Source organism: Homo sapiens, chromosome 15, assembly GCF_000001405.40.
Source record: "Homo sapiens chromosome 15, GRCh38.p14 Primary Assembly".
In the NCBI taxonomy this organism is placed as follows: Eukaryota; Metazoa; Chordata; class Mammalia; order Primates; family Hominidae; genus Homo; species Homo sapiens.
Window position 1 is genome coordinate 72,360,045 of NC_000015.10, and position 14,885 is coordinate 72,374,929.

Sequence of the window (14,885 nt, forward strand, 5' to 3'; positions counted from 1 at the left end):
TCCCTGCTGGCCTACATGTAGTGATTCATCACCTCAAACGCAATCTAGCCAATACTCCCAACGATCTGTCTCTTTTCTTCTGTCACAACCAATGGGCAAAACTTTCAACCCTGGATCAATCTAACATCTGCCTGCTGTGCCCCTGACCCCGGCTACTGTACCCTACTGGAGGGAAGGGAGAAAAATCACAAAACAGCAGGACTGGACCACTGCAAAATAATGGTCTCCATCTTGGCTGGGCCCTTGATGCTACCCTGAAAATCTTCTATCTCCATCATTGCTTCATTCTATTCTCTACACCTTCCTCAAGTCTACTTGATCACCACCTCCCTTATGCTCAGCAGACAATCAGAAGAGAACTTTCAACTATCCCTACCCTCTTCCCCTCTCCTCGCTGACAAAAATATCTGCAACACACACCTGCCTGTACCCTCTCCTGGACCTCCACCTTGATGGAAGGGGCTTCCTTTTACCTGTGCTCTGGAGCTCTTCTCAGTCTCCTCTTGTATAAATTATTTCCCCTTTTCCCAAAGCCTTCAAATTATTTCTTTCAACTCTCATCAGCATTAAAATGTTTGCAATCTTCCTGGCCTCACTTACTCTTTCTTTTGCCTTCCTGCCACAAAGACTCCCTAGAGGAAATGTAGCCTGGGCAGCTAAGGACCTGAACTCCAAAGGAAGACAGATCTGGATTCAAATCTTGGTTCTAACACTTTCTAGCTGCAGGCCTTCTCTAGGCAAGTTATTTACCCTCTCTAAGCTGCAGTTTCCTCAACTGTAAAATAGGGATCATAATACCTATATAATTGGGCTGCTGGGAAGGTTAAATGAGTTAATACATGTAAAGTGCTTAGCTCAGTGCCTGGTACCTCCTATGTGCTCATGATGTTGGTCATACTTAGTATTTTGTAGCTGCTTCCTTACAACCTATCTATTCCTCAATCCACTATAATCTGGCTTCCTTCACCACCACTTCTCTCAAAATGGCTTCACCAAAGTCCTGTGGTTCTGTAACCAAATTCAAGGGACTCTTTTCAATTCATTCATTCATTCAACAGTAATTTACTGAATGCTTACTATGTGCCAGGGTGTTGTAAGTGCTGGGGATACAGCAGTGGTCAAAACAGACAAAAATCCCAGCTGTCAGAGAGCTAATAGAAACCACTCACTCCTTCTGGGACCTCTTGACAGCATCAGACATCTCTGACCTTCTTGAAACTAAACTCCCTTAGCTTAGGGGACATTGCTCTCTTGGTTTTCCTTCTAACTCCTTGAATATGCTTCTTCATTCAACTTCTCCTTTACCAATCCCAATGTACTAATGTTACCCAGGGTATCCAAGGTTCCAAACTTCTCTTTTTCCCTTCGCTTACACTCTCCCTAGACAATGTCATCCACTCCCACAGCAGGCCAATGACTCCCAAATCTATCTTTCCAAGCCAACTCTTCTTCTGGAGCTCTAGACTTGTACACCTCCACTCAAATGTCTCAAAAGCCACTTGAATCTTAAACATAAAACTAATCTAACTCTTCATTCCTCCTCCTGGCTGATCCTCTCTCTCACTTTGATAACAGCCCCATCTATTCACCTATACCAGAAATCTCCTTCTTCTACACCTTCCATCTAACTGAGTAGATCACAAGTTCATCAACTCAAAATAACATTTACAGACTGTCTGATATCTCAAACATTGTGTTAAGCACTGAGATTACAACAGTAAAAATACTTTTTAAAAGTCTTACAATTACACAATCCTTATAATCTCTTAACACATCGCCATTTTCCCAGCCCCACTGGGCCAAAGCCTTAATTCAGCCTCTTGTAATTTCTCACCTGGATGACTATAAAAAATCTCCCAGGCAGTCTTCCCCTGCCTCCAGGAATACCCATGTCAATCTACTATCCTCAGAGATATTAGAATATGAAGATAAGAGCATGACAGTCTCCGCTTAAAATCTTCCAATGGCTCCCATAGCTTTCAGAATACAGTCCAGAATTCACTGGGTAATCATAAGAAAATGCCTTGTCTTTTTCTGCTCCTGTGCAGGAACTCTCACAATGAACAATGAACTCTTAACAGAACCCTGAAAATGCCATATTTTCTCCATATTTTTCTTTGCACATATTGCTTCCTCCAATTGAAACAAACTTTGCCTTCCCGCCACATCTCCCCTAATTAAGAAACAGCTCTATTTTCCTTTTAGGAAACTTTTCTGTTATTCCCCCCCTCTTTCCTAAGAAACCCTCCTATGTGATCATGCAGCAATGTATACATACATTTTTCAAAACACTTTTCTTAAGATATGCTGTTTATTTGTCTATCTCCTCACCTAGGTTGTGAGTTCCTCAACAGGAGGGACCAATCTCAGTGTCTTTGTATTCCCAGTGCCTGACACACAGCAGTCATTCAGTACATGTTTGCTGAAAAAATGAATGATGTTGGAATTCAAAAAATGCATATTTTATGATTGTGCTATGTGATAATCAGGCATAAATAGCAAGTAGTTAATGTAGAGATTACTTTTATATCCCCAAACCTAGTATTTCTGAAATCCTGAGACTGGGGTGGGCGATGCTAAGAAGACGCCCAGACTTACACAAAGTGCCTTTTCAGACACTGCTCTGAAGACCTCTGGATCCATAAATTCTAAGATTTAGGTCTTTCCACTTCTCTGAGAGGAAGAACTCGTTGCTGTATTAGGGTCACTAATAACTATTAGGGTAACCTGGAAACTATCAATCTTTACCTCAGTGCACAATAGCCTTTCCCTCTACCACCCGTTCCCTCCTGAATCAAAACACTTCCATCGTATCAATGTGTTTGATTCACAGAATCCCAGCACTATGGAAAAAAAACACATTGGTTTCGGTTATAAAGTGGTAGCTGATTTTGCTTCTGGATTGAAAACTAAGAAAGGCAACCCAGACTTTGCCACCTTCCCACTCTTTAATGTCTACTCTGCTCCCATATCCCCTGGTACCCTCCTAGGCTGGTGCCAAAGTTTGTTCCCATGCCCACTTTCTTCTCTTCCCCCTCCCACCTTTATACACATCATATCCAGGTTTCATCTCCCCCATATTCTGCCTAATAAAAGCCCATTATATCATTCATTTCCCACTCATTTCTTCATTCCAACCAAGATATATTGTGCATTTAATGTGCATCAGGAACTGTGCTAGGTGCTGGGGCAGTTAAAAAGAAAAACAAACCCTGGTCCCTGCCCTTGAGGAGATCACAGTCTAGCAGGAGAGATGAACACAAACAATAATTACAAACATTGTGATAAGGGCTATGGTAGATTTAATAGCCACGTCCAGGAAAGGTGGAAGGCTTGACGTTGAAGGGGACCTCTGAGTGGGATCTTGAACCCTGAATTGGTGTTCACCAAGCTACCAAGAGGAGAAAAGGTATTCCAAGCCTGGGAAGTGAATTGGTGTAGCTAGGAGAGAAGTCAAGGCCAACCTTGTCAAACTTCTTATCCCAGTAAAGTGGGAGTCTGTGAAGCCGACTGCCCTGAGCTGGGGCCTTCTCCTTAGTGCTGCTGAATTTAGTCTAGATCATGGTACCTCCTCCTGTAAGTTCCAAGATTCTTCACCCTCCACAGACTATTAATACCTACTTGGAAGTATCACTCTCTCCAGCCCACAGATGAATCCTGAATGTTCTTCCTTCCTCTCATTCCCATCCCATATTTTTTGGGTAAAAGTTGTACCCATCTTTTTTTGGGAAAAGCTGTAGTTAAAAATTTTCTATTTTCCCCTACTTTTAAAACTGATCTGTCCCTCCCAACCCTATCCCCACTGGAAAGAGAACATCTCCCTAAAATTCTAGATCTCAAGGGATAACTTTAGTTATAACATTTTGCACAATTTTCCAATTTTTTTGTAAATACATAAATTTATTAATTTTTAAAATAAAAATGGGCCCAGGCTAGGTGGCTCATACCTGCAACCCCAGCACTTTGGGAGGCTGAGGCAGGTGGATCACTTGAGTTCAAGAGTTCGAGCCCAGCGAACGACTTCAAGGTTCGCCAGTCAACATGGCGAAACCTTGTCTCTACTAAAAATACAAAAATTAGCTGGGCGTGGTAGCAGGCGCCTGTAAACCCAGCTACTTGGGAGGCTGCGGCAGGAGAATCACTTGAACCTGGGAGGTGGCAGCTGCAGTGAGCCAAGCGACCACGCCACTGCACTCTAGCCTTGGTGACAGAGCGAGACTGTCTCAAAAAAACCCCAAAACAAAAAACAAAAACAGAAAAAAAAAATGGGATCCTAATACTATTAGTTTGTAACATTTTTCCCCTTACCAAAATGAGCTGTAGATCTGTTAATGTCAATATATATAGATTTACATCCTTCTTGTAAATGTTGAATATAATTCCAATGATGAGATATACATTAACTTACCTAACTTCTCTTCTGTTTGTAGACATTCGGTAATGTTTCTAAGTTTTTAGTATTATAAACAACACTCTAGTAAACAAATATTCATATATATGTATATAAGCAATTGTGAAAGATATCTGTAGGATAAATTCTTGGAGGTGGAAATGCTAGGCCACAGGTAAGAAAAGTTTTGGTTTTGATACTGCCAAATTCCTCTTCCAAGTTACTGTACTGACTTACACCCAAATCCACATATATGGGCCCATCTCTCCACATCTTTCCAACACTAGAACATCTCAATTCTTTTTCACCATTGCCAGCTGGATTTAAAAAAACACATACATTGTTTCAATTTCAATTTGTATTTCTTTTTAAGTTTTAATTTAATTTTTTTTTTTTTTTTTTTTAGAGACAGGGTCTTGCTCTGTCACCCAGGCTGGAGTGCAGTGGCACAATCATAGCTCACTGCAGCCTCAACCTCCTAGGCTCAAGTGATCCTCCTGCCTCAGCCTCCCAAACAGCTAAGACTACAAGCGTGCACCAGCATGTCAGGCTAATTTTTATTTTTATTTTTTGTAGAGACAGGGTCTCACTATGCTGCCCAGGCTGGTCTTGAACTCTTGGCCTCAAGCATTTCTTTGCATTTACTAGCCAAATTTTTTTTACTCTTTTTTTTGAGACGGAGTCTCGCTCTGTCGCCCAGGCTGGAGTGCAATGGCGCGATCTCGGCTCACCGCAAGCTCCGCCTCCCAGGTTCATGCCATTCTCCTGCCTCAGCCTCCTGAGTAGCTGGGACCACAGGCGCACGCCACCGTGCCCGGCTAATTTTTTATTATTATTATTATTTTTAGTAGAGACGATGTTTCACCATGTTAGCCAGGATGGTCTAGATCTCCTGACCTCATGATCCACCCGCCTTGGCCTCCCAAAGTGCTGGGACTACAGGCGTGAGCCACGGCACCCAGCCATTCTTTTTACTTTTTAAAGTTACTTTTCTTTTATTGACTTGTTGCAAATATCTGCCTCATTTTATCCCTTATTTTTTAACCTTATGCTTTCTTTTGCTTTAATTTTTATGTAGTCAAAGCTATGACTCTTTTCCTTTACGGTCTCTTTATTTGCTTACTTAGAAAGGCCTCCTCTACCCCTAAAATTATAATAATAGTTTCCTTCATTTCTGTCTAACACTTCAATGGTCTTTTATCTTCAGATCTTTAATCTCCCTGGAATTTACTTTTGAGTTTGATATGAGGTAAGGATTTATTTTTTTCCCAATTGGATAACCAGTCATCCTTAGGTATTTATTGACTAATACATCTTTTCACATTTGATCAGAAATACTTCTTTGATCATATATTAAATTCCCACATATATACACATGCTTGCTTGTCTCTGGAATCTATTTTCTTGGTAATCTTATTGTCAGGGAAATCCGCCATGTCATATCTCTACCATATTTTGTCACTTTGCCCAATATATAACCCCCTTTGCTCACTTCTGGTCCTGCACTTCTATTTTTATACATGTTGCTTCCTCTTCTCCACCAGACCACCTGTGTACTACATATCATTCACCTTGTAAACCCTCTGAGATCTTGTTGTGTAGTTACTTAATTACTCAGCCTCTTCTACTTCCTCCCTAACTGAAGCCTGGCTCTCCCCAGGAATACCACACACCACTTCCCCTACAACATGCTCTGAGAGGCAGCCACTTCCCACATCATAGGGTTGAGATATGGGGCTGCTTCTGGGTCATCCATTCCACCACCACCAAGTAATAAAACACCTTTCTTCTGTGGTTCATGTCATCCAGCTGTTAAATCTTCAGCTCTCCTTGTTACAACACTCTGTAGCTTCCTGATCACTTCTTTATTCACTTAATTTTTTTTTTTTTTTGAGATGGAGTCCTCCTCTGTTGCCCAGGCTGGGGTGCAGTGGCGCGATCTCAGCTCACTGCAATCTCCGCCTCCCAGGCTCAAGTGATCCTCCTACCTCAGCCTCCTAAGTAGCTGGGATTACAGGTGTGCACCACCACACCTGGCTAATTTTTCTATTTTTACAAATTAGACGGGGTTTCACCACATTAGCCAAGCTGGTCTCGAACTCCTGACCTCAAGTGATCCCACAGCCTCAGCCTCCCAAAGTGCTGGGATTACAGGTGTGAGCCACCATGCCCAACCTTATTTACTTAATACTTTGGATCCTGTTGCCCAGTATTCCTCTCCACCTCAAGGCTGGCTATTATCCTAGATGATTTTCACACCCAAGAGGAAGAACTAACCCATGTTCTGGCTTAGCAGTCATCCAACAACATCCTCCTCCTCCTCCTCAACCACCCTCCTGTGGTTGCCTTTTGGACCTTCTTCTCCTCGGAAGTGTTCAAACTCATTCTCCCAAGCTCTAGTACTACATAGCTAACTGTTTGCTTGATACCTCATAGTCAACACGTCAAAATCAAATTTACTTTTCATGATTCTCACTCTACCTCTCAACCTCTTAATTTCACTGTTTTTTTTTTGTTTTGTTTTTTGAGATGGAGTTTCACTCCTGTTGCCCAGGCTGGAGTGCAGTGGCGCACTCTCGGCTCACTGCAACCTCCACCTCCTGGATTCAAGCGATTCTGCTGCCTCAGCCTCCAGAGTAGCTGGGATTACAGGAATGCACCACTATGCCCAGCTAATTTTGTATTTTCAGTAGAGATGGGGTTTCTCCATGTTGGTCAGACTGGTCTCGAACTCTCGACCTCAGGTAATCCACCTGCCTCAGCCTCCCAAAGTGCTGGGATTACAGGTGTGAGCCACCACGACCACCAATTTAGCTCTTTTTACTCCTTCCCTTCCTCTCCTACTATTTTCCCTATCTTTGTTAATGGCAGCACGAGTGAATGAGAGCCAACATTCAAACTGCTAAGTCAGAAATCTGGGAGTCATCCTCAGCACCCTTTCCCTCCAACCTAACTCCCACTTCCAAGCAGCCACCTCCTAAATCTCTCTTCAGTCTTTCTAGTTTTCTCTGTCCTTACAGCCATCAACCCAACTTCAGCCACTACTCTCTCTTATCTAGACCACTGTTGGCAGCCTTTTAACTGGGTTTCCTGCCTCTAATCCCACTCTACAGCAAGCCCCAATGTAGCTAGAGTTTAGTCACATCACTTATCCTGTTGACTGGACTTTACTGGCCTTCTTTGACCTTAGGATAAAGCTCCATTCCTTACCAGGGCTTATTAGGCCATTTCATGACCTTTCCATCTATCACCTCTTTAGCTTCAGAACTTGCTGATCCACCCTAGAGTTGTGTACTTCAGCTAGACACCTTGAGTTCCTTGAATATGGCATGAAGGCTTCTCGCCTGTAGGCCTTTTCCACGCGCAGTTCTTTCTATGCGGAATACTATCTTCACCCCCACTAACTTCTACTTTTAGATCTCCTTCAACAGCTCTCTAGGAAAGCCTTTTCAATGTGCACTTTCTCCTTTTCCCCCCATACACTTAGGTCAGGTGTTCCTCTTCTGCACTCCCAAAGTACCTTGTGCTTCAGTTATCATAGAAAAATATCACACTCTGTCTGTATCCCCACTTCCAGAAACTGTAAATTCTTTAAGGACGGGGAAGTTCAATTTAATATTCCTTGGACCTAGTACTATTGACAATTAAAGTTACTTAATAAATACTACCTGTACTAAGAATAGATGGGAGGAAGGAAGAAATGCTACTGGAATCTGGTAACAATGGGCCAGGGATCAAAATATTCATAACCTGAGTGCTTATGAGTAACTAGATGTTAGAAGTTACTACCTATTTGAAGTAATTAACACTAAGATGTGATTAGAGCTTAATCCTGCCAGAGGCCAGTAGTTTTCCAAATTGCTAACTGGACTGACAAAGACGTGTATGAGTATATTACAAGACTGTACAGTGACAAAAGCAAAATTTATGCATGACTGGAATTTCTGCTCCATCCCTACAAGCTGTGTAACCCTGGGCATGTTACTTAGCCTCTATGTCTCCATTCTCAAAGATTGGGATAACACTGACCTCACAGAGCTGTTTATGAAGATTAAAGGGCAATAACATACATCAAGTGCCAGACAATAAATGCTAGTTTCCTTCCGTGTTCTACTTCCCTTTTCCCAATAAGACAGTTTTGCCCCAGCAAACCTCGACTCTCTCATTTGGCCAGAGGAGTCCTGGGGCAGGGTCTCCTATGGCAAAGCCACACTCTAGGAGCAGCTTCCCTGAAGGGTTTTTCATGAGCCTCTTATAGGAGACTGAAGGCTTCACTACTGTGAGATGCCATTCTGTATATGAACAGGCTGACACTTCAAAATACAAGAGGGACATGGCCTTAGAACTCTGAATCTCCCCCAACCTAGGACTGCAGCTCCAGGCAAAACAACAAAGCCACTAATGTGGAATCCTAGTTACAACAAGGACAAGGTTGAACAAACAGTAAGTAGTTAAACTTTTCATGCATAACAGTGTACCTAGTAAGGCATCTCTCTTACCCCCTCAATCCCAAGAGCTTTACAAAAGAAGGGGAAGGCTGCTTAATGACAGCTGACAAACACCCATACGTCCTGTATTTTTGAGTATACGCTTCCACAGAAAGGAGCTCTACACCACACCCAAGCCTAACCAGCCTCAAGATGTGGACACAACAATAGCATACAGCAGTTGGCTGGGGATCAGGGCTGAGTGTGTGGCCAGGAAGCTTAAGCAAATGCCACAGCTTGAAACAGGAACAAAGGACAAGAAGAGAGAAGACTCAAGTTCCTGACCCAATAATGGGTTTTATTCATTACAGCCAGGAATACAGAAGAAAATATAATCCATTTCTGTATTACAATGGACTGTAAACATGTAAACCTTGAGACAGCTCACACCACAGAAAACTCTTCACACATACACCTCTCTGACCCCTACAGACCCAACCTCCTTTCTTCAGCTGACTTTGTTGTCAGTGGCTCCAAAAAGGTCATGGAACCTCTTGAGGATGATGCAAATTGACTCTATTTTATCACTTATTTTCAGGACCAGTAGAAGAAATTTAGGAAACTGCAGAAACATAAGAGTGATCCCTTTCTTTTGTTTTTGTTTCTAGGTTTTTGTTTGTTTGTTTGTTTGTTTGAGACAAGGTCTGGCTCTGTTGTCCAGGCTGGAGTGCAATGACACGATCTCAGCTAACTGCAACCTCCACCTCCTGAGCTCAAGCCATCCTCCCACCTCAGCCTCTGGAGTAGCTGGGACTATAGGCATGAGACACCATGCCCAGCTTTATTTCTTAAAAGAAGTACTGGTAAGGCTGTAAAACTCCTTTCCCTCTATATAACAACAGGAAAGGGATTGAGGCTTATGCCTTGAACAGGCTAAGAAACAGACAACATGCCCTAGCATGAGACGGTTAAAAACAAACAACAACAAAACGACAAGGTATCCATTGTCAAAAACCTTCCAATGCTATGCTTCTCGCTCCTGTTTGGAGGTAAGGAACTGGGGTAGAAGGAAATGGAAGGAAAGGCATCTCTGGGGCTTGGACTTTTAATTTTTATTGTTTTATTTTTAAAATCACCAAGTTCTTCCCACTATTATACCCTCCCTTAAAGACTGAAAAAACATTCATAACTATTTTCTTGTTATCCTCGGAAATGTCTGGAAGGCAGGCAGAGTTAAAAAAAAAAAAAAAAAAAAGGAAGTAGCAGCAACAGCTTGGAAATTAGGCAATTAGTCTGAAGGCACAGAGTTAAGGGGTTAATAAACACTTTCTCAGCTGACTCCTGAATGAATCATGTTCCACATCCTGAGTCCTCCAATGTATACTGTGTTCAAACAGAATATCCAAAGCAGGGGAACACCTACAGCTCACAGAAATAAAACTCAAATTTTTCATAAACCAGGCCCAGGCTACCCACATACACCTTGATCAAGTTTAGCTTCTTGGACTCAGTACTATACAGGGATACTAGAAAAGTATCATGCTTTAGGTAATAAATGGTGGCTCACACCTGTAATCTCAGCACTCGGGGAGGCCGAGACAAGAGGATCGCTTGAAGCCAGGGGTTCAAGACCAGCCTGGGCAACACAGTAAGACCCCCATCTCTACAAAATGCAAAAAATAAAAAAATTAGCTGGGTGCGGTGGCATGCGTCTGTAGTCCTAGCTACTCATCAGTGAGGCGGGAAGACTGCTTGAGTCCTGGAGTTCGAGGTTGCTGTAAGCCGTGATCACACCACTGCACTCCAGTCTGAATGACAGAGAAAGACCTGTTTCTTAAAAAAAAAAAGAAAGAAAAGAAAAGAAAAAAACAGGGCTGTGAGAAGAGAGGCTGGTGGAAGACTGCAGGCCAAGCTAATCTAGGCCCTGGGATTCAAAATGAAATATGACACTTATTTTGCCCTTCAACTAAAAACTGTGCTTCTGCCATCACCTTCTTTCTAAAGACAATTTATTCATCACTGTATTTCTCCTATGTATCCCTCGTTCTCCAGAAACCCCTTCATGAGAAAAAGTAATTCTACTACAAAACCTTCTTCCCGTGTTGTTTTCTTCCTCTTTGCTTTTAAAACAATAAACTTAGTGGCAATCATCTTTGGCAGGAATATGCCTTGTCTTTGCCGTGGGAAAGGTTAAAGTATAGTTAGCCGCTAGCCCAATTAAAGTGGAGAGAACTAATCGGCCTTATTCTTTCTCCCCAGCCCAGCTGCTTGACCTTATCTGTTTCCCTCCTAGATGCAATCCCAATGCATCTCTCACTGCATGCTGAGTTAAGAGCAGCACGAGTTGGGATCACACAATAAGCAGCATAGTGTGATTATCCTTTGCCTGGAATCACACACTTACACTCCAAATTGGTAACCTGAAAGGAAAGGTAATCCTCAATGAAAACCTGCAAATCATATCTTTTTGATGATCTTCTCAGACCTGTAATCCCAACACTTTGGGTGGCTGAAGCAGGCAGAGTGGTTGAGCCCAGGGGTTCGAGACCAGCTGGGGCAACATGGTGGTACTCCATCTCTACAAAAATTAGCTATGCACCTGTAGTCCCAGCTACTCAAGAGGCTGAGATGGGAGGACAGCTTGAGCCTCGGAGGTCGAGGCTGCAGTGGGCTGTGTTTGTGCCACTGCACTCCAGACTGGGTGACAAAATAAGACCCTGTCTCTAAAAGAAAAAAAAAAAAAAAAAAAAAAGAAAACAAAACCCAAACCCATAAAGCCTTCTTACAAATGTTTACACAAAGTAGCTCTTTAACGTTAATATATTTTACAAATAATTACTACATATCTACAACGTTCCAGATACAGAAGAAATGGCCAAAGAAGGTATTTTAGGAGATCCAGATTATAATGAACTATGCCATTTATTAATTTAGTCACTTCTTTAATATCTGAGGATGAGCAAATCAAATACTGATAATGGCTGCAGAAGGACACAGGCTCTTATATAATAATCTTACTTCCATTCCAGAATAAAAGGGCTGGAGAAGGGGGGCAGGATTATTCTGTTGAAGGACAATGGCATCCTCAGCAACTCACAGGGATGTGCAGGTGAACATCAGACCAGGATGGGAACCTTATAATATCTATGATATACTATGGCTTCTATCAACCAGTTTCAGGAAAAGCAAAGAAGAATGCAGTCATGGCCAGGTGCAGTGGCTCACACCTGTAATCTTGAGGTGGGCAGATCACATGAGGCCAGGAGTTCGAGACCAGTCTGGCCAACGTGGTGAAACCCCATCGCTACTAAACCCCGTCTCTACTAAAAAATAAAAAATTAGCCAGGCATGGTGGTGGGTGCCTGAATTCCCAGCTACTTGGGAGGCTGAGGCAGGATAATCACTTGAACCCAGGAGGTGGAGGTTGCAGTGAGTCAAAATCACACCACTGCATTCCAGCCTGGGCAACAGAGCAAGACTCCATCTCAAAAAAAAAAAAAAAATGCAGTCTAATGGCAGAATTAGACTTAGCCACTTTACTTGGAAAAATTTGGACTTTATCAGCTCCATCAAGCACCATGCTCCACACCATGCTTATTAAATGTCTGGAGCAACATTAGATGGGTGCCATTCCAAATTCCAAATAATCACATCTTTGCTTTGCAAACAGGATGTGGCTTAATAATCAAACAGGGAACTAGATTCATTCAAGTATCTAGTTCCTAAAATAAGTCTATTTAACAGGTTCAACAACATGCAACACACACCCTCCAATTGGTAGAAACACCTCTCAATGACAAAGAAAGGTGGCAAATACTAAACACCTTCACAGACCATTTAGCAACTGGTGGGACTAACCCTTGAAGGTGAATTCAAAATAGAACTGAACCTCAATACCAGACTTCTTTTTCAGAAAAGGGAGTATGAATTCTTAGTTTCAGGTTCAGACAAAAACCAGAAGTTGTATTGCATTAGGAAAAACACTGGGCTGGTCAGGTGGCTCATTCCACCCTGTAATCCCAGGACTTTGGTAGGCCAAAGCAGGGGGATCACTTGAGCTCAGGAATTGGAGACCAGCTTGGGCAACATGGCGAAACCCCATCTACAGAAAATACAAAAATTAGCCAGGTGTGGTGGCATGCTCCTGTGGTCCCAGCTACTCAGGAGGCTGAGGTGGGAGAATTGCTTGAGACCGGGAGGCAGAGGTTGCAGTGAGCCAAGATTGTGCCACTGAACTCCAGCCTAGGTGACTAAGCAAGATTCTGTCTCAAAAAAACAAAAACAAACAAACAAACAAAACCTACTGGCCCAGAGCCTACAAATAAGTTGTTTGGAGGAAGAGGATGGAAATCTGTTAGTTAAGATTTAACCTGCATATGTTGCCTTCTTTACTAAAATCAGACTCATAAAGAAATGTATTCTGGCTTCAGCCTTGTTGGTATTGCTCTACCTCTATTTGTTTCCCATGCTATTGCTTCATCCTTGTTTCTGCAGAACTAGGATTTTAGCTCAAAGTCACCTAAAAGCCTCCACAGGAAACTACATTCCAAAGGGAAGACTCCATGGGAAGAGCAATAGAGAAAGAAGTTACTTTTAAGTCTTTGGTAATGTTCACCCAACCCAGTTTTCATTTTCTCTCAATGGACAAGAACCCTCAACTAATAAAGCTAATGAACTTACAGGAAGGTAATATATGGAAATAAACATCTTATTGAATTTATCTGGCTCTAAATCTCTTTTGTTAGGGAATTTATAGTATTCCATTATCTTACAATCTCTCCATTTCTATCTACTTGATTAAACTATGGTGCTATAGCAATGGAGGTGAAGGCCTAATTTAGAAGTATAGGAATTAGGTATGGCGCGGTGGCTCATGCCTGTAATCTCAGCACTTTGGGAGGCTGAGGTGGGTGGATCACTTGAGGCCAGGAGTTTGAGACCAGCCTGGCCAACATGGTGAAACCCCATCTCTACTAAAAATACAAAAATTAGCTGGGCGTGGTGGCAAGCACGTGTAGTCCCACCTACTCGGGAGGCTGAGGCAGGAGAATCGCTTGAACCCAGGAGGCGGAGGCTGCAGTGAGCCAAGATCGTATCACTGCACTCAGCCTCAGTGTAGGCTGAGTGATAAAGCGAGACTCCGTCTCAAAAAAAAAAAAAAAAAGGAAAGGAATTATTCTCATGTATACAATAGTAGGAAACAACCTATAAAGCTTTTGAGAATCTTATAATTCACTGTGTACCTCCCTCTGTTTCATATTTTCGCAATTGAACTATAGAGCCTAGGCCTAGGTCTTAAGACTTTTCTTGTAACCTTCAGAGTGCCCAGCACTGGGATTGACATATACCAGTTAGACGGATTTTTTTTTCCATAAACCAGGCTCAAACTCTTCTAAACCAAAATCAACATATTCTGAGTGCCAATCTTGGGTAAGGCACTCTATTATTTGTCATGAAGGATTCAGAGGAAAATGTGATCTACCACACTCAACAGCAGGCCTCTTATCCTCTCCAGCTTAATGCATTTTACCAGTTAAGGACTACCCTGATGCTGAGATTGTGTTTCTTTCCCCAAATCAAATGTCACTCTCTAAGGGTCATCTGTATAATTAAATGCTTTTAATTCTATATATCAAATGATAACTTTTGTGAAAGTAATTTAAACACACTTGAAACATCATATAAAATATTACTACAAGACTTAACCGTAAATGTGGCTCCCACCCCCATAACATCTATACAATATAACCAAAGAGCTAGATTCCAGATTATCAAGAAACTTCTAAATTTTGAACCCATGCAGCAGAATTGTATTCCTTTACATTGTTGGCTCGACTTACAAATGTGCTGTGGAATAATTATCCTCAAATACAATTTTCAGTACTGATTACATAGCTGCCTAAAAGAAAACTGTTAGCCCCTTCCATTTTATGTGAAACCAATGTCTAAAGCGCTCTTGACTCTTCAACCCCACATTTTCCCCACCCTCATCCCTCCTCAATCCCCAGCCCCCACTCATCACATCCACTAGACCTGAACTTTGAACTCAATCATAATTCTTTGTGCCT

General features: G+C 42.2%; 1 protein-coding gene across 3 annotated transcripts in view, besides 1 other annotated feature; it reads right to left on the reverse strand.

The window, feature by feature from the left end:
• Positions 1–14,885, reverse strand: part of HEXA (hexosaminidase subunit alpha) — a 35,091-nt gene that overhangs the window by 19,121 nt on the left and 1,085 nt on the right. The window lies entirely within an intron of this gene.
• Positions 6,141–6,290: an enhancer, noted in NCBI's record as "active region_9719". NCBI's record gives its function as "activates an Ori minimal core promoter by ATAC-STARR-seq in GM12878 lymphoblastoid cells {active_cell/tissue: GM12878}" and the evidence as "EXISTENCE:reporter gene assay evidence [ECO:0000049][PMID:35858748]".